Here is a 20,157-nt window from a genome sequence, read left to right on the forward strand (position 1 = left end):
AGTTTTCTCATCTGTAAAATAGCAATAATATAGCACTTACTTTATAGGGTTTCTTAATTAAGTTAATGTATGTCAAGAGAAGTGCCTAGCACATAGTAAATGCTCCCAAATGTCCATTATTATAAAGAATGCCACATACCTCTGGCCAGAAGCACATTCTGTGGGCTCCCACAGCCCTCCTGTGCCCATAGAAGGGAAGCACTTGCTCTGGACCTTGGCATTCTTGAAGGGATGCGTGGTGGGTCTTCCTCCAGCAGAGATGGTTCCTGGCCTCCTATTCTGGCACAGTTGACTGTGAGACCACGTGCAACTTCCACCTTCCCAAGAGCTTCAGTTTCCTGCCCTAGAAAAGAAAGGCATTCGTAATGACCTGTCCCACAAATGGTCACTTGGATTGCCTCATTTGTGGTGTCCTGGACAAAACCCCTACTCCACGATTTCCTGGATGTACACCCTACTGCAGAGGGGCGCATGAGCCCACGCATGCCACCAAATCAGCAAGAGAAGTCGAGTAAACAACCCTGGGCCTAAAGAGCTCCCTCGGGAAGGCATGGAGAATTATTTTTGCTTTAAATATCTCTAAAGAAGGTTTAGAAAAGGGACTCTCCAGCTTTTCCTTTGCCTTTACGTTTTCTGGTTAGGAACATTGAAATTTCCTATCTTGAGTCCAGGATGAAGTGGACATTTTTAAAGGGGGTTTTATTTCCAGAACACAGTCTGTTCTTCTCAGCAAAGCCCTTAATTGGAAACAGTTGTCACTGACCCCATTGGCATGCCCCAGGGTGGGGAGGGCATGCACCCAGCCTGCAGTGATTTTGCTCTGCCATTTCCAAGGAGGCAGCCTGAAGAACTGAGCCCCATATGCTGGGGGCCTCGCTGGGCTGACCAGTCTGCTTGGTAAAGGGCCGGGGCAGAGGGTGGTTTCAGCTGTGCACACTTGGTTTCTGCAGTGGTTCTAATTCAGGCTGTCCAGAGACGATCATCTGGATGACCCCTAGAAAGTTCCCCTCTGGAGCAGGAGAACAGGAGAGGAAGAGGGTGGCCATTGCACTTAGAGTGACTCTTCTGTGTTGGGTTAGCTGCTGGCTGGATTTCTGCACTTGGCTGCAGCCTCTTGTAGCTGATACATTCATACCCAGCCAGAATGACAGCCTTGGCTGCAGGTTTGGATTTCCTAACACCCAGATGTGAGCTGTGAGTGGCACACAGCAGTGACCAGTTCCTAATATTTGCTCAGATGACACAAAAGTCTTTGTCCTTGAAGCAGATCCCAAGCTAAACCTTGGACTCTGTCACCCCGGCTTCCACAGATGCTTGCTTCATAAGTCCTAAGGTAAGAAATAGCACAGCTCCATCCTCCAGCCTTACCACGAACGGATGCCAATGTGCAATCTCAGGAAGCTTCTGTGTTAGGAAGATGCTGCCGGAGCACTTGCAGTGAGTGACCCGGATCATGCAGGCCCTGTCAGATGACTTATGTCACTTTCCTCAAGGAGAAAATTACACTCTTTATACTTGGCTGAGGGGAGGAGGCATTGAGGTTTTCTTTGTGGAGGTAAAAAAAAAAAAAAAAAAAAAAGTTTTGCAGATTTTGCCTTTTTTAACCTCAAAAATATTTTTAAATGTAAGATGTTTTCTGAGGTAGAGTCTACGTGAGGTGTGACACTGTAATTGTGAATCCCACCATCCAGCTAAGCTAAGGCCTATGGAGCATAATTCACTCTTTCCTTCAGCAAATATTTGAACAGTGTAAAACTAAAACAGCCCATTCATTAAGCAATGTGCAAGGTTCTCCCGCTGAAATATCCTGGAGTCATAAGATTTGATCGCTGGGCTGCAGCAGTCAGTCTGATTAAGACCTTCAGAGACCATGAAGACAGGACCCATTAAGGAACCTCACCCCAAATTAAAGACAACACCAAATTGCATTTTTTTTAAGCATAAAGGAAGGAAATCAAGGATCTGATTTTTCCTAAAATGAATGTTTCAGTAACAAATAATCTCCACCTCTCCCATCTTCCACCCCCACTTATTCCCATCCCTCCACCCTCTCTCCACCACAATGCTCATCCACCAGAGGAAAGTGGGGGTGGGGCAGGGGTTGCACTTGAGTGACAGATGTGAGGTTATGGCTAGAAAGTGAGAGCTTAACCCCAGGGGAGAGAGTGACTTCCTCTCACAGCAAAGTGGTCTAAAGTAGGCCAAGGCAGCTGGTTGGGCGAGGAATGAGAATTCTCAAGAGGAGATGAAATTGATGCTGTAATCTCAGAGTGGGGAAGACGTAGCGGACTTTAACTCAGGAAGTTTCCATGAAAGAATTGAGAGCCTATGAGAGAGAAATACTGGAGTGAAATCAAAAGAGTTGACATGAAGGCCATGCAGAAAATTATCTTGATTCTTCCAGGAAACTAAGGACAAAAGCAATAATTCAGTTTCCGCAGAGAAATGTGTGTTCTTGGGGAAGAGTGGAGGAAATCACTCAAGGAGAAATATTGGCTTTTAAAGTCACTAGACTTAAAGACAGGGTTGGGGTCATGGAAGGGAACAGAAAACTAGAAAGGCTTGGAAATAACTTGGTGATATTTTTGGTTGATACAAGCTGAACTTTCTTTTTCTTTTTTTTTTTTTTGAGATCGAGTTTCATTCTGTTGCCCGGGCTGGAGTGCAGTGGCGTGACTTTGGCTCACTGCAACCTCCATCTCCCGGGTTCAATCAGTTCTCCTGTCTCAGCCTCCTAAGTAGCTGGGACTACAGGCACACACCACCATGCCTGGCTAATTTTTTTTTTTTTTTTTTTTTTTTGTATTTTTAGTAGAGACAGGGTTTCACCATATTGGTCAGGCTGGTCTCGAACTCCTGGCCTCAGGTGATCCACCCGCCTCAGCCTCCCAAAGTGCTGGGATTACAGGCGTGAGCCACCCCCGCCCCAGCCTATACAAGCTGAACTTTCTAAACTCTAAATCCCATAGTCTTTGGTGGACTGCATCCTAGATTCACCTTTCCTTAGCTGTGTACCAAGAGTTTGGATGCAGTAGGCACTGTGGGGAAGGGGCACTGTAGGAGCCACAAAGCGGAAAGGGTGTGAATCCCAGGGTACCCTTTGGAAAAGCCGTTGGGAGAGGGTGACCTACCCTACCACACAAGGGACAATGTAAAGTATCTGCAGGCTTCTGCTTGTGACTGCCCTGAGGCCCGGTTTTCACATAGCAGCTTTTCTGTCTATTTGTTTTACGTATTTCTCTCTAAATAAGTTTCTTTAGCTGTTTAAAAAAAAAAAAAAAAAAAAAAAAAGACAGTTCTCAAAGCAAGGTTCCCTGGACCAACAACATCAGCATCACTGGGGATCTCAGAACCTGACCCAGTGGTCTGCCCGGCCCAGACCTACAGAAGCAGAATCTGTAGGGGTAGGGCCAGCAATCTGTATTTTAATAAGCCCTTCTTGCGATCTCGTTTGAGAACCACTTGTTTAGCAAAACGGCAGGCCCATTGAGCTATCAGAGTCTTAAATATTTCACCCTTGTGCTATTTATGGGTCTATTTTTGGCTTTTGTATTTAAACTGCCTTTGCAGAAATGCACAAGGTTTCTGTGCCATAGAACTCAATGTTTCCGGGGTTATTATGCATATTACTGAATCCACAATTTTAACCTTGGGGGTGAGGAGGAGGTACAGCAGGGCCAGCATGTAATTTGATCAACTCAGTCTTCCTTCTTTTTCTAGGTTGAGGGGAGTGCAAAACAGTACACAGAGATGTGGGGAGGGGGGCTCCGGCTGCATTTGACTTCCCCTGAGCTGTGTGTCTGAGGCAACTGAGAAGTACCCTTAAGACCTACACCAGCTGGCTCTTGCCTTTGGAAACAAGTGCTCAGAGGCCGGCATGTGATCCGCCAGCAGCAGCTAGGTTGCTCACATGCTTTCCATCTCCTTTTCCTTTCCAAATTCAATTATCTTGCATTTCTCAACCCTGAGTCTCCTCCCTAACCCCAGGAAAAATGGGATTTTAGAGCCCTGGAGACTCAGTTATGCAGTTATCCCTTAGCCTCCTCGCTCCTCCCAGCCAAACATTCCAACTAGCACTCTCCCTAACTGGATTCCAGACCTGCCAAGACATTCCAGGACAGAGGCGATTCCTTCCTGCTGGCTGCCTGGCTCAGGTTGTCGAGCCAGATATGTGAGGCCAAGCACAGGTATCTGTTAGAGAGGCCAAGAGATGCGTGATCCCTGCAACCTCTGGTGCAGAGGAGCAGGCAACCGGGGCTTGTGCAAAGCTTGGAGACAGCGAGGAGCAGGAGAAGACTGCGTGTTATGTAAGGGAAGCATGTGGGTTGCGTGCTGCTATTCACCTGTTGCTAATTAGTACACTGCCTGTCAGGACTCAGGCGAGGAAAACATCTTCCTCCGACGCACGCTCACCTCGCTGTCAGAGTGAAGACATAATGATCCAGTCTAGAAGGGTTCTGTCCAACAGAAAAATTTATTGAACCACGTGGTATGTTAGGTGCTGAAGATACGAGATGAATAAACCAGGGTCCCTGCTCACAAGGAATTTGTGATCAAGAAGAGAGACGAAAACAAGTAAACAGTTGTGTACAATCCATGTGATAGAGAAAGCAAAACTACCTTTGGTGTACAAAAATCCTACACTGCTTTGAAAGTTGAGTCAGGCCAACTCAGAGGTCCCTTCTAGAAGTGCGTTCTAGGCAGGGAGAACAGTAAGTGCAAAAGTTGGGGAGTGGGCCTGGGGTTCTCAAATCCTGAAATGGCAAAATTAAGCTAAGGTTGCTATGCCAGGTACAGAGTCAGGAAGGCTGCTTCCTCTGGACGGGGCCAGCAACAAGACTCAAAATGTGAGTAGGAGAACCCAAGGAAAAAGTAGGTAGGAACAGGTCAAGACATGGACAGAGAAGGGTGGGGAGAAGTGGCGTGCAGGGAGATTGCTGGGATCATGAGCTAGCACTGAGGCTTGTCTTTGTGAGCCTCTGCAGAGGACGCTTGGGAGCAGGAGCCTAGCATAGAAGGCAGGGTCAGGTGCTGGGCACAGTGGCTCATGACTGTAATCCCAGCACTTTGGGAGGCTGAGGTGGGTGGATCACAAGGTCAGGAGTTCGAGACCAGCCTGGCCAATATGGTGAAACCCCGTCTCTACTGAAACTACAGAAATTAGCCAGGAGTGGTGGCATGCACCTGTAATCCCAGCTACTTGGGAGGCTGAGGCAGGAGAATCACTTGAACCTGGGAGGCAGAGGAGGTTGCAGTGAGCCGAGATCATGCCACTGCACTCCAGCCTGGGCAACAGAGCAAGACTCCGTCTCAAAAAAAAAAAAAAAAAAAAAAGAAAGAAAGAAAGAAAGCAGGGTCACAAGAGAGGCAACTGGAGTCCAGAAACAGTTTAAATCCCCCCCTCAATGGCGTTCTGTATTCGGGAAGGCACTAGCAGGAATGAGAGGGATAGTCCAGGAGTGGAGAACCGAAATCTGCCCATTTGTACACAAGATAAAGTTTTGAAAAAACACCAGGGAGCAAAGAATATACAAGGGTTGAAAAGTTTACAAAGCAAAAAACAATCCCGCAGAGGCATGTTTTGCTCTATTTCCCGACCTACAAAGAGATCTTCCCTCAAATGTCAGGCTCTGGCCCCAGCTCTCTTTTCCTCTCAATGTCACTCTCATGGCCCCACCACCTGGGCTGTGACTTCAATGACCATGAACACCCTCAGCCTCCAGACCAGCCCCTGTCCCAACAGACAAGTGCTTACTGGACACCTTCACCTTGAACTCCCATGGACACTGCAACCCCAACATGTCCAAAAGTGAATATGCCATCACCAGCCCTCCCCGCCATCCCCTCGCCATTGGGCCCTAGCTCAGGGAATGGTACCTCAATTCACCTTAATGCCTGACCCAGAAATCCAAGGAGGCCTTTCTCTCATCTCCTCCTTCTAATCAAATTATTTCCTAAACCACTCTGGAGCCTATTCACCTCGTATAGTTTGCTATTGCTGCTGTAACAAACTGCCACAAACTTAGTGCATTAAAACAACACAAGTTTATTATCTTATAGTTCTGAAGGTCAAAACTCCTACAATCAAGATGTCAGCAGGGCTGTGGTCCTTCTGGAGGCTTTAGAAAAGGATCTGCTTCCTTGCCTTCCCTAGCTTCCAGAGGCCACCTGCATTCCTTGGCTTGTGGCCCCTTCCTCCAGCTTCAAAGAAAACAGCAGAGCATTGTTGGGGCCCAGAAAATAATATCCCAAAATGAAGGTCTCAGAAGCAGCCTCAGAAGCAAAAGTCACAAGATTTGTAACCTCTTCAATTGCTCCTATAGATAACATAACTATTGTAAAACCTAAAATTGGTGTTTGAGGGTATCTTTCAGACCTTTCATTTTGATGAACCAGCTGGTGCCATCCAGACCAGTTAACCCATTACCAAGAAACTGTCTCAATTGGTCTTGTGACCCCCTACCCAGGAACTGACTCAGCACAAGAAGACAGCTTCAACCCTCTGTGATTTCCTTCCCAACCCAACCAATCAGCATACCCATTCCGTAGCTCTGCCTCTACCAAACTACCCTTAAAAAACCCTAGCCTCTGAGTTCTCAGGGAGGTGGACTTGAGAATTATCTTCCGTCCTTCTGCTTGACTGGCCCTGTGATTAGTGAACTCTTTCTTTGCTGCAACACCTGCTGTTCTCAGTGAACTGGCTTTTCTGGGCAGCAGGCAAGAAGAACCCATGAGGAAATTACATTAGCATTAGATCATAATCTTTTTGTCCAATCATATTTCTACATGGCTGTCCATACTTTTCTGAACCTAAGCATAAACATGGACAATTTCCCCTGTATCTTTGGGTCTTCATTCTGAAGGCTCTTGTGTTATACATAGAGCCTTAAATAAATAAGCCTTAAATATGTTTATATGCCTTTTCTCCAAGTAATCTGCCATTTGTGAGTTGATTTTTCAGCAAACCTTCAGAGAGTGAAGGGGAATTTTCCCGTGGCCCCTACAGTTTCAACAAAGTTCTCTCTTCTTCCATCTTTTAAGGATTCTTGTGATTACCTTGGGCCCACCCAGATAATCAAGGATAACCTCCCCATCTCAAGATCCTTAACTTAATCCAAGTCTTATAAAGTAACATTTTCACATGTTCTGGGGATTAGGAAATGAACGCCTTTAGGGGGGCCATTATTCTACCTACCACACACCACTTCCTACCCCAATACCACTGCCACCATCTCCTTCATTTGGAGTCACCAACACACTCCTAAATGCATAGAAGAATCACAAAGTATTTAATGAGGGGGAAAACAAAAGAGAGAGAAGGAGAAAATAAAGAGAAGGGGAGAGAGAAGAAGAAAGCCTCTTCCCATAGACTCCCTGAAGCAAAGGATGCCTTTCATTCCCAATCTCTTACCTAGTTTCCTTGACTCCAGTATTTCCCCCTCCAAATCATTCTTGGCCTTGCTCTTTCCTTTTGCCCTTGCTATTTGCTCTGTCTATAATTTCAATCTCTATTTCCTAACAGTCACCCCCACTCTGCCTCAACCCCTACACAGAGCACCTGGCTAAGTCCTGTTCCTTCAGGTCTCAGTTGAGATGTCATTTCCCCAGGAAGCTTTCCCCAGCTCTCAGGTTTAGGTCTCCTGGGGTCTCCAGTAGGTGCCATTGTACCTTGCTCTTACCTGTCCTAGCCCTTATCTCATCCAAAAGTCATCATCCATTCTCTTGTCTATCTTCTGCTCTGAGCTTTCAACACTGAGAACAAGGTATGAATCTTTTTCCATGTTTCCCCCCAAGTACATTGTACGGTTCAATAAATATTTTCTGAATAAGATTTAAAAAATAAAATAACACTTCGTTTCATTCAACCTCTTTGGAAGCCAGATCTGATCTAGTTGCTTGTGTTCAATGCCAGCCCCAGGTCTTGCTCTTTATTGATGCTTATTACCTGTTGCTGGCTTGATGGGAGGGTGTGGTGACAGTCAATAGATGCATTCCAGGGGGAAAGGAGGGGGCAGTAAACAGTTCAGGGCTTCTCAGTTGGTCCCAGATCAGGAAGACAACTGAGGACAAGGCCCTGGCAGAGAGGCCTGGAAGATTTTCCAAAACTGGGATCCAGAAGAGAGGTTTCCCCTCTCAGGTCACATAGGCAAGGCTGGACTCTGCTGTCTGTAATTTCATCACTGGCCAGAGCAGGATTTCTGAGATGTAATAAGAATTCCAGGACAGCACACATGAGGCAGCAGGTGGCTGGCAGCCTTATGCTAGATGAAGCCTGGGTGGCGAGGCAGTTCCCCAGCAGGGACACACACTAGGGGGGCCCACATTCCTTCCTGCTCCACCCGCCGTAACCCACCTCCCCTTCCCCCTTCTCATCTGTATTTCTGAATGCCAGGCCCACTCAGGCCAGACATTTAAGACAGCACCACCAAACTTCTAGCACCTTCAACAGTTGTCAAGACTGATGAGAAAAAAAAGAAAGAAAGAAAGAAAAGAAAATAAATTGTTAGCAAACGACTCTTCCCCATCTGTTTTGATAGATGAAGGATTGACAAGATCATAGTTTGTCTCCTTCAGGAGTTAGTGTGGCCAATACAAATCATATCAAAAGTACTTGTTAATTTAGTTTCTGTAGACTAGAAGATAAACAAGTATCTCTTTCTCTCTCTTCCTCTCTTTTTACTTTAAAAAAAAATTTAAAAAATATTATAGGACTTTCACAGCCAAAGTCAACTTTTCACTTCCTTTTCAAAAATTTCCTGGAAATTTTTGTTTTGGTTTCTTTTCACAGTTATGTGATATTTACTTATTTGTTTTTCTCTTAGTGAATATTTAGGTTGTTCTGGGTTTTTTCTTCTTTCACATAATTCTATAATATATTCTTCTGCATATCTTATGTACACATGGGAGAATCTCTTAAGTGGAATTGATGGTTAAGTACTTCCACATCTTTACTAGATAAGTAATTACTAAATTACTATCCAAAATGGTTGCATCAATTTATACTTCCGCCCACAGTGTACATGTTGCTCTGTATCTTCTCAAATACTTTGGCAAATGGTTGTTTTTTTACCAATCTTAGAGATATAAAATGGTACCTTGCTTTGCTTTAATTTACATTTCCCCGGCTACTACTGAGATTGGCATCTTTTCATGTATTTATTGGCCTTTTAGATTTCATCTTCTGTGAATTGTCTGTTCATATCTTTTGCCTAATTTCTTATTGAGCCATTTATCTTTTTCTAATCAATATACAGTTTGGATTGTATATAAATTTGTCTATATGATTTGAATCCTATAGAATGCATATGATTCCAAATCATATACATTCTGAATAATAGTCCTTTTTTTGTTTTGTAGAGATGAGGTGTTGCTATTTGGCCCAGGCTGGTCTCAAACTCCTGGCCTTAAGCAATCCTCCCACCTCAGCCTCCCAAAGCTCTAGGATTACGGCGTGAGCCACCATGCCCAGCTTGGATACTAGTCTTTTGTTCTTTATAGGCTATATTAATTCAAGTCTTCCAAGAAGCAGAAATCAAAACAAAATTGGAAGTGCAAGACAATAATGGGGGGTAATACCTGCGCAGGATAATGGGGAAAAGAGCAGGCATGGTTGGGGAGAGTTTTCAGACCCCAGTGCAGGTCTTTATGCCTGTGAAAGGGAAGAAGAGGAAAGAGAATTGGGTGGGAAAAGCCTCCATCTGCAGGGCAGCTCTGAGAAAGTCAGCCAGGCTAATGGGGAGCCTCAGAAGAAAGTTTGCCTTTTAAAGAAGTCCCACACTGAGCAGGAATGACTCAACTCTGGTACTCCCTCCGTACTCAGACATTGGCTAGGATCGGTCAGAGCTAGCAGAGCCTCTGCTAGAACACAGTGGTGGATCCTGAAGATGAGGCAACTCCAGGCTGTCAGCCAATCACACCTCATAAGTGTGTCTCTGTTGAAAGGAGCCGAACAGCACACTCCCCTGACTGCCACATTGCAAATATCTTTTCCCAGTTTGTGTTTGTCTGTTTTTTATTTTACTTTATGGCATATTTTGAGGAAAAGAAGCTTTACCTTTTTTTGTTTGTTTGTTTGTTTGAGACAGGGTCTCTGTCACCCAGGCTGGAGTGCAGTGGCATGATTACAGATCACTGCTGCCTCAACCTCCCTGGCTCAAGCAATCCTCCCACCTCAGTCTCCTAAGAAGCTGGGACTACAGGGGCACACCACCATGCCTGATATGGTTTGGCTCTGTGTCCCCACCAAAATCTCATGTTGATTGTAATCCCCATGTGTTGGAGGAGGGGCCTGGTGGAAGGTGATTGGCTCATGGGGGTGGTTTCTAATGGTTTAGCACCATCTCCCTAGTGCTGTTTCATGATGGACTTCTCACAAGATCTGGTTGTTTAAAAGTGTGTAGCACTTCCCCCTTCTCTCTCTCTCTCTCCTGCCACCATGTGAAGATGTGCTTGCTTCCCCTTTACCTTCCATCATGATTGTAAATTTCCTAAGGCCTCCCCAGCCATACCTCCTGTACAGTCTGCAGAACTGTGTGTCAATTAAATCTCTTTTCTTTATAAATTCCCCAGTCTCAGATAGTTCTTTATAGCAGTATGAGAATGGACTAACACAATGCTCGACTATTTTTTCCTATCTTTTGTAGAGATGGGGTCTCACTAGGTTTCCTAGACTGGTCTTAAACTCCTGGGCTCAAGTGACCCTCCCACCTTGGCCTGCCAAAGTGCTGAGATTATAGGCATGAACCACCATGCCCAGCCAAAGCTTTACATTTTAATGCACATAAATTTACGAATGTTTTTCTTTAGTGCTTGTACTTATTTCTGTTTTATGATATTATTGCCTACACTGTGATCTTGGAAGTTTTTCTGTATTTTCTCCTAGAAGTCTGAAAGTTTTACTTAAAATTTTTTTCACCTAAAATTTCATATTGTTGGGTTCGTTTTCAATATGGGCTATCAAATTCCCAGTACCACTAATTGAATAATTTATTCTTTCTCTACTCATCTGCATGTCACCTCTGTCATATATCAAGTCTTCATAAGTACAGAGATCTGTTTTGCGAGTCTCTATTCTGTTCTATTGGTCTGTTTGTCTCTTTCTTGGCTAAAGCCACACAGTCTTAATTTAACAGGTCTTATAGTCTTATAGGGTGAGTCGCTCATCTTGTGTTTTTCAAAATTTCTTAACTATTTTTGGTCCTTTTTCAGAACAATGTTAGAATCATCCTGTCTAGACCCATAAAAAAAATCCTATGTGAATTTGGTTGGAGTCACAAAGAATTTATAATTTGGGAAGAATTGAAATTTATGACACCAAGGCTGGGTGCAGTGGCTCACACCTGTAATCCCAGCACTTTGGGAGGCCAAGGCAGGCAGATCACGAGATCACGAGATCGAGACTATCCTGGCTAACACAGTGAAACCCTGTCTCTATTAAAAAATACAAAAAATTAGCCGGGCGTGCCGGTGGGCACCTGTAGTCCCAGCTACTCGGGAGGCTGAGGCAGGAGAATGGCATGAATCCAGGAGGCAGAGCTTGCAGTAAGCCGAGATCATGCCACTACACTCCAGCCTGGGCAACAGAGTGAGACTCCATCTCAAAAAAAAAAAAAAAAAGAAATTTATGACACTGTATCTTCATATCATAAATACATCTTATCTATCTATTAAAGAATACCTAGGCCAGGCACAGTGGTTCACATCTGTAATCACAGCACTTTGGGAGGCCAAGGCAGGAGGATCACTTGAGGCCAGAAGTTCGAGACCAGGCTGGGCAACATAGTGAGATCCTATTTTACAAAAAAAAAAAAAAAATTAGCCAGGTGTGGTGTCATCCACCTGTAGTCCCAGTTACTTGGGAATCTGAAGCAGGAGGATTGCTTGAGTCCAAGAATTCAAGGCTGCAGTGAGCTATGATGGTGCCAACTGCACCCTAGCCTGGGCAACAGAGAGAGACCTTGTCTCTAAAAAACCCTAAGAACAAAAACAAAACAAAACAAAAAGAATACCTAAACAAGTAAAGTTTTATAATTTTCTTCATAAAGATCATGTATATATTTCTGGTACCTTATAGCTTTTGTTTCTTTTATAGGTGTTAGCTTTAAATTTTTTTATTTTCTAACTGTGGTTGGTACCTTAAAATGCAAGTTAATTTTTGTATAATGACCTTCTATCTAGTAACTTTGATGTGTTCTCCTAAATTTTATAAGGCTCTCTTTTACACATCTCTGGAAAGTTTAGATACTTCTGTACCGGAGCAAAAGTCATCAGCAAGCACTTACCCTTGGTGACAAAAGCAGTCCGAGCAAAGGACTAACTCGCAACCTCCCTTGCCTAAACGACTGCAGCTTGTTCCTAAATCTTACTATCCTATTGACACATGCAACAGCAACGCCCCCTTCTGGAGACCTGCCAACAAGACAGAAGTCTCCAGAGAGAAAGCCCTCGTGCTTGTTTAGATCAAAGATCCAGACCAAGTGGCCTCGCTTGAGGTCAGCCTTGCTGTTACAAAACAGAATGATCCCCAGGCAAAGGGCTCAGAGCCAGCTGGGTTAGATGAGGGGCTGCCTGGGTGACCTGATTAGAGGATGCTGTTTCTTGATTGGCCACATCCACTCTGTCCTTCCACTCCTACTTGAAAAGGCCTTGGGGACATCAGAAAGCAGGCCAGAAGGAGGAAGCAGCACTGCATGGAGAAAGAGTTAGCGTGAAGCCTGCCCCTTGCCCACTGAACACCCCTGCTCAGCCCGCAAGCTGTTTCCCAGCTAGGCTTCCACCCAAAACATCCATCTGGCTTGATTGCTGGGGGCAGCCGGCAGCTTCAAGAGACCTGTGAGGCCAGGAAGATGCATTCCATAGCTGTTGGCTTTGAGGTCATCCTATGTGATGCTAGAGAAAGAGAGACAGAGAGAGGAGGATGAAGAGCTGGTGCCCATTTGTTGGGCACTGGCATCTCACTGGACCCCAGCTGTCTCCATGCAATGGCCCAGAAGCAAGGTGACTTTTCCAGAGATCCCATTTCCCCTTAGAGAAAGGCCATTTCTCCATGGCCTACTTGGGTGTATAGGATAATGGCCTGATGTGAAGGGCTAGGTTTTATTTCCATATCTATCAAAGCTGAAAGCCAATGGGGCAGAGTAAAAAGTAAATGAACCTGAAGTCAGACAGATCTGAGTTCAAATCCCTAGGTGAATTCAGGCAGGGTGTAATCAACTCTTCTGAACTTTGATTTCATCCTCTGTCTAAGGGGGAAGAAAATACCTTCCTTGTAGGGTTGTTGAGATGATTAAATTGAATTAAATCATGTACATCGCAGCAGAGTGGCTGCCTGATAAAGCTGTTTTTAATCCTTAGAAGGATAATCGCTGAGTCACCTCTCTAATGGATGTGGGATACTTGCCAATCTCAACCTTTTCCCAGTGAACTAAGAAATGTGAGTTCTCCTGAAATGAGAGGCAGCCACTAAGTCCTGTGTTGTGTGCTGAGGATGGAGTTTATGTATATATGGTAACTCATTCTATTCTTACGAGAACCCTGTGAGGTGGATAGTATGGATATTATAGCCATGCTGCAAATGAAGAGACTGAGGTTCAGAAAAGCACCATGACGTCTTGAAGTCATGAGCAGGATATAGAGAGCAGAGATAAGAAGCTGTGTGTGTCCTTTCCAGAAGCCTTTGCTGTGCTGCCCAGGTCATTACCCTTCTCCTGTCTTGACAATCTAGTCCTAGACCTCAGGTAGTCCCACAGGTTTTTTGTTTTGTTTTATTCTGTTTTTAGAGACAGAGTCTCACTCTGTCGTCCAGGCTGGAGTACAGTGACACAGTCATGTCTCACTATGTTGCCCAGGCTGGTCTCTAACTCCTGGCCTCAGACACTCCTCCTGCCTCAGCCTTCCAAAGCACAGATATTACAGGCATTACTGTGCCCTGCCTTAACCCCACAGTTTTTAACTTAGCTCTGGGGCAGTCCTGATCTCTCTTTTTCAGAGGATAAATTATTTCAATTGCCAGGAGCAACAGTTCATTGACCTACATGACCCTTCCGGGCTCTAGTGTTAACAAGAATTGACTGAAAAGCTATGGTTTTTTTTCTATTCTCGCTTTTCCTAGGAACTGCCATTTTGTGTAATGTCCATGAGCTGGAAAGTACAATCAGATAACATTGAAGAGGCAAGAAAGGCTCATGGGAAGAAAAAAAGGGCAAAAGAAGCATTTTTATAGGAATCAGCAAATCAATATTTAAACAAAAAATGATTTCTCTTATTATATATTGTCTTTACTAGAATGATCTGTGCAGCTACTGGTCCCTTCATTCATTTCTAAGGTTCTGGAGGGAAAAGGTCTGTGTCTGTGTTTAATCTTCTTGTTGCTGTTTTTTGGGATTTTTGTTTGTTTGTTTTTTTGTTTTTGAGATGGAGTCTCACTCTGTCACCCCGGCTGGAGGTACAGTGGTGTGATCTTGGCTCACTGCAAGCTCCGCCTCCCGGGTTCAAGCCATTCTCTCACCTCAGCCTCCCGAGTAGCTGGTACTACAGGCGCCCACCACCATGCCTGGCTAATTTTTTGTGTTTTTAGTAGAGACGGGGTTTCACTGTGTTAACCAGGATGGTCTCGATCTCCTGACCTCGTGACCCGCCCGCCTCAGCCTCCCAAAGTGCTAGGATTACAGGCATGAGCCACCACGCCCGGCCCTGTGTTTAATCTTCTACTACACCTGGCCTGGTCTCTAGCATGTACACAAGTGACTCAAGTGGCCCATAGAAGGAAGGAATCGGTGGCCCATCCTCCAGAAATGCCTTCAACTCTGGCTTTTAGTTATGTCTGACATTCTTGCCATGAGAGTTTCCGTCTCTTGGAGGCTGTTCCTTTCCACCAAGTTAACCAGATCCCACACACTGTCCCCAGAGCAGAGCAGGACACCATGGGAAGAGGCCTTGGAAGAAGAAAGTCGAGGGAAAAGCTGACACATGGGACATGGTCAGTCCTATGAGGGACCCAAATGAGAATATGTGCTAGGACATGGAGCATGGTTCCAGCCTCCATAGGAAGGAAGAAAAATCAGGGTCCCCGAGAAGGCAGACATTGCTCACACCATCATTCTGGCAGGACTAGTTTGGTTCCATGATGCAATCTGGGCTGCAAGGCTGAGCAACTCCAAGTGGTTCCTGTGTGAATTGAGATGATGGCCTTGGTCTCATTCCTCTGGTCTCCAACAAAATTGGGATGGACTACTACAGACCTCTGGGGAGCCCAGAATGCTCTTCAGAGCAGGAGATGCCCAGAGCCTCATTCCACCAAGGCAGGTCAAGAGGCTACTGATGTATTATTTCCTATTTGTTTCACTTACTGTTTTGATCATTGACTTATTTAGTCATTCATTCATTAACATACTTATCCCTGTTTTGTTACAAAATGGATTTAAGGTGAAACTAATTTATCCAGAAGATGATTTTTTTTTTTTTTTCAAGAGACGGGGGTTTTGCCATGTTGCCCAGGCTGGTCTCAAACTTCTGAGCTCAAGCAATCCCCCCGCCTCAGCCTCTCAAAGTGCTGGGATTACGGGTGTGAGCCACCACACCTGGCCTAGAAGATAATATTTTTAAAAGTTAACTCATTTCTATCGTCAACTGCATTCAATAATTTAATTCAACAAATAATTTTTAAATGCCTAACTCTATAAACAGTGAGACATCAGTGAAAAGACAAAGATGGACCCCACCTGAATGTACCTTATAGTCTAGCTATGGACAAGTAACAGACAATTGCAATATAATTGCACACTAGTTACTTCATAATTCTAGTAATTTTTTTTTTTGAGACAGAGTCTTGCGCTGTAGCCTAGGCTGGGGTGCAGTGGCATGATTTTGGCTCACTGCAGTCTTCACCTTATAGGCTGAAGCCATCCTCCCACCTCAGCCTCCCAAATAGCTGGGACTACAGGCACACATCACCACATCTGGCTAATTAAAAAAAAAAAAAGTTTGTAGAGACAGGGCCTCACTATGTTGCCCAGGTGGCCTCAAACTCCTGGAATTAAGTGATCCTCCTGTCTCAGCCTTCAAAGTGCTAGGATTACGACCATGAGCCACTGTGCCTGGCAAATCTTACTATCATTCAGTCCCTAACTACTGCAAAAATTAGTGTTCATAGCCATTTATATTTTATATACTCTAATGACATCTCACTAATTGTCATACCATTTCTCAACAACCAACAGTTGCTCTCCAGAGCAAGGCTGGTGCAATAGCAGCCCGCTGGGCCCCACCCCCAGCCTTTGCTGCCCAACAGCCTACTGCTACCACCCAGGCAGCGGCCTTCAGTGAGCTCTCCTCTTAAAATGAAAGAACTTACATACAAACATGTAAGTGAGAATGGATGTTACAGCAATCAGTAGACAATTTTTAATGCAACTTGCCAGCTACAAGCAAGCATGGGGAAGTAGCTAAATTTGTAGAGACCCATTCTCAAACAAGGTCTAGTCCTGTTTAGCTCAGATCATTCAGCTTACTTCAGAATTCCATTTAACAAACTCCCCCCAGGGACTGACTAGGACTCATGAGTTATTTGTGCCTCAGGACATCCATGGGAGCCAGGCCTTCTCTAGTACAGGATCCTCTGTGCTGGCTCCAGGTGAGAGTCCTTTGTTTCACCTTCCTCCACCCCATGTGCAAGCTAGGGCTTCTTCTTCACTGAGGGGATGCTGGTGATTCAGGTCCTTCCTGGGTTTATGCAGAAAGAGACCCTGGTTCTCTTGACCTGCCAAGCTATGTGAAAAAACACTGAACTCAAGCCAGATATTTTACAGTCCTATCTAGAGGACTATAGGAAATTCATTTGACCTCTAAGAGCCAGAGTTTTCTTCCTAGGGAAATAGAGATTCTGCTACCAGCCCTGCTTTTCCCCCTGGCTGGCTGCAAGGTTCAGGGCCTTGTGAAGCGTACATCCCTGTGTAGAGAGAGGGAGGGATTCATGCTCACACACTCATCTTCTGCTGGGATGCCTAGTTCCCCTGGCTGTGTGTTCACCTGCATCCTAGAGGCTCCACTGTGGTCAGGATCAGCTCTAAGTCAGGATACAGTTATATAAGTTATAATTATATAAGTTTAAGCTGGTCTCAAACTCCTGACCTCAGGCGATCCACCCACCTCGGCCTCCCAAAGTGTGGGGATTACAGGTGTGAGCCACAGCACCCAGCCCTAGATGTTTTAAATGGAATATTTGGTGTCCCAAACCTAGATTACAATCTGAAGAAGAGTAGAAACAGACCTCTGTATAAACCAACGTAAAACTGAAGCCAATCTCAGTTGCTGGGTCAGGGTTGAAATGTCATGATCTCCCAGCTGTGAGCAATGTTTGAGATAGTCCAGGTTAATCCCTGCCTTTTAGAAAGGAAGAAAGGAAAGCCTGGCCACTAGCTCCACATCACCCCTAAAGGTAATAACAAACCAGGACCCAGGGCTAATATTTGTTTCTTGAGATTTAAACTTTTTCTGAGTGTGTTTGGATTTTTTATATAAGTTATAATTATAAATATCCTGACATAGATTCTTTCCTTCACACTCAGCCTCTGTCTTTTACTCGCTTGGGTGATCCCCAAGTCAGAAACTGAGGGTAATGGCTAATATTTGTTTCTTGAGCTTTAGACTTTTTCTAGTGTGTTTGGATTTTTTACATAAGTTATAATTATAAATATCCTGACGTAGATTCTTTCCTTCACAAAAGCAGAGAACAGCTAAGATCACCCAGTGAGTAAGAGACAGAGGCTGAGTTACTACACAGTGTGAGGGTGATAGCAAGAGTTGGAAAAAAAAAAGATGGATTTTTTTTTAAACTTCCTTGAAAATAGTGGTAGGATACACAATATTGAAGGAGGAGAACAAAGTTAGAGGACCGACACTATCTGACTGCAGGAGTTACTATAAAGTTGCAGCAACCAAGACAGTGTGGCATTGGCAAAACAATAAACGAAGAGCTGGGCGCGGTGGCTCACGCCTGTAATCCCAGCACTTTGGGAGGCCAAGACGGGTGGATCACTTGAGGTCAGGAGTTCGAGACCAGCCTGGCCAACATGGTGAAACCCTGTCTCTACTAAAAATACAAAAATTAGCTTGGCCTGGTGGTACACACCTGTAATCCCAGCTACTCAGGAGGCTGAGGCAGGAGAACTGCTTGAACCCAGGATGTGGAGGTTGCAGGGAGCCGAGATTGCACCACTGCACTCCAGCCTGGGTGACACAGCGAGACTCCATCTCAAAAAAAAAGAAAAAAAAAAAAGGATAAACAAAGAGATCAATGAAACAGAATAGAGATCTCAGAAACAGACCCATATAAATATAGTCAATTGATGTTTGACCAAAAAAACAAAGGCAATACAATGGGGAAAAGAAAATCTTTTCAAAAAATGGTACTGGGACGAGACATTTATATTCAAAAAAAAGGAATGAAGACATAGATCTCATACCCTTCACAAAAAAATTAACTCTAAATAGATCACAGACCTAAATGTAAAACACAAAATGGTAAGACTCTTAGAAAATAACATAGGAGAAAATCTAGATAACCTTGGCTTTGGTAGTGACTTTTTGTTTTGGTTTGGTTTTTTATTATTATTATTTTTTTGAGACAAGGTCTCTGTCACCCGGGCTGGAGTGCAGTGGCGCAACCACAGCTCACTGCAGCCTTGACCTCCCAGGCTCAAGTAATCCTCCCACCTTAGCTTCCTGTGTAGCTGGAACTACAGGCACATGCCACTATGCCTGGCTAATTTTTCTGAAATTATCTGTAGAGATACAGTCTCTCTATATTGCCAGGCTGTCTTGAACTCCTGGGCTCAAGTCATCCTCCCGCCTTGGCCTTCCAAAGTGCTGGGATTACAAGTGTGAGTCACTGCACCCAGCCAGGTTATGACTTTTTTGACATGACACCAAAGGCATGATCTATGAAAGAAAACACTGATAAGCTAGACTTCATTAAAATTAGAAACTTCTGTTCTGTAAAAAATACTTATGATAATATAAAGAAAAGCCACACACTGGGAGAAAATATTTGCCAAAGATGTATTTGATATGGGGCTATTATCCAAAACATAAATAAAACTCTTAAAACTCAACAGTAAGGAAACAAACAACCAATTAAAAATGGGCCAAGACATTAAGAGAGAGTTCACCGCAAAAGACATACAGGTGGCAAATAAGCATACGAAAGATGCCCCACGACGTATGTCATCAGGAAAATGCAAATTAAATCAACAATGAGATACCACCTACACACCCTTTAGAACAGCCAAAATCCGGAACACTGATGTAAGGTACCTGGAAGTGCTTCGGTCAAGGAATAGTCTGAGGCGGGTATCCAGGCCTGCACGAGTCAGCAAGTTTGGCACGCAGGCGCACACCTCCACTTGTTATATAAACTGTTTGTGTAAGTTCATACTTGACTTGGAGCCACAGTTGTCTGTAAAAGGTATAACTGCCCTGTTAACACTGCGCACCAGACACATGGCTCTGGGGCTCGGCTCGCCTGAAATGGCTTGTCATGGTAGGCGCGCAGGCGCCCAGAGAAAGAGCGAGCGAGTCAGAGCTGTCCGTCTGAGCCAGGACACAGCTCAGCTCACTCACTCCCAGAGAGAGAAAGAGTTAAGCTGCTCACCCTGAAGGCAAGGGAGAGCCGGCCACGCAGCTGTGTGTGGGAGCCGCCAGACTAAGCAGCCGAGACAGGGCGGACAGTGTGAGAGAAAGCTGTTGATAAGAGCTGCTGCTGAATAAAGTCATCTTTCAACTGCCTACAGCCCCCCGAGTGTTCTTTCTGCTCATCCAGCCACTCCCTTCGGACTCAACATAACATGTGGTGTAGTCATGAACCTGACAACTGACAACATCACATGCTGGCAAGGATGTGGAGCAAAAGGAACTCTCATTCATTGCTAATAGGAATGCAAAGCAGTACGGCCACTTTAAGGATAGATTGGCAATTTCTTACAAAACTAAACATGCTGTTACCATACGATGTAGTAATCATACTCTTTGGTTTTAACCCAAAGAAGTCAAAAATGTATGTCCACACAAAAACCTGCACATGGGTGTTTATAGCAGCTTTATTCAAAATTGCCAAAACTTAGAAGCAACCAAGATTTCCTTCAGTAGGAGAACGGATAAATG

General features: G+C 44.6%; 1 long non-coding RNA gene across 1 annotated transcript in view; it reads right to left on the bottom strand.

The window, feature by feature from the left end:
* Positions 1-19,605, bottom strand: part of LINC02613 (long intergenic non-protein coding RNA 2613) — a 57,104-nt gene extending 37,499 nt beyond the window's left edge. Inside the window, exons 1-2 of the long non-coding RNA NR_110259.1 lie at positions 19,312-19,605; positions 140-343 (exon numbers count right to left, since the gene is read on the bottom strand). This is a non-coding gene — a long non-coding RNA (long intergenic non-protein coding RNA 2613). The remainder of the gene's footprint in view (positions 1-139; positions 344-19,311) is intronic.
* Between the last annotated feature and the right edge of the window lie 552 nt (positions 19,606-20,157).

Source organism: Homo sapiens, chromosome 2, assembly GCF_000001405.40.
Source record: "Homo sapiens chromosome 2, GRCh38.p14 Primary Assembly".
In the NCBI taxonomy this organism is placed as follows: Eukaryota; Metazoa; Chordata; class Mammalia; order Primates; family Hominidae; genus Homo; species Homo sapiens.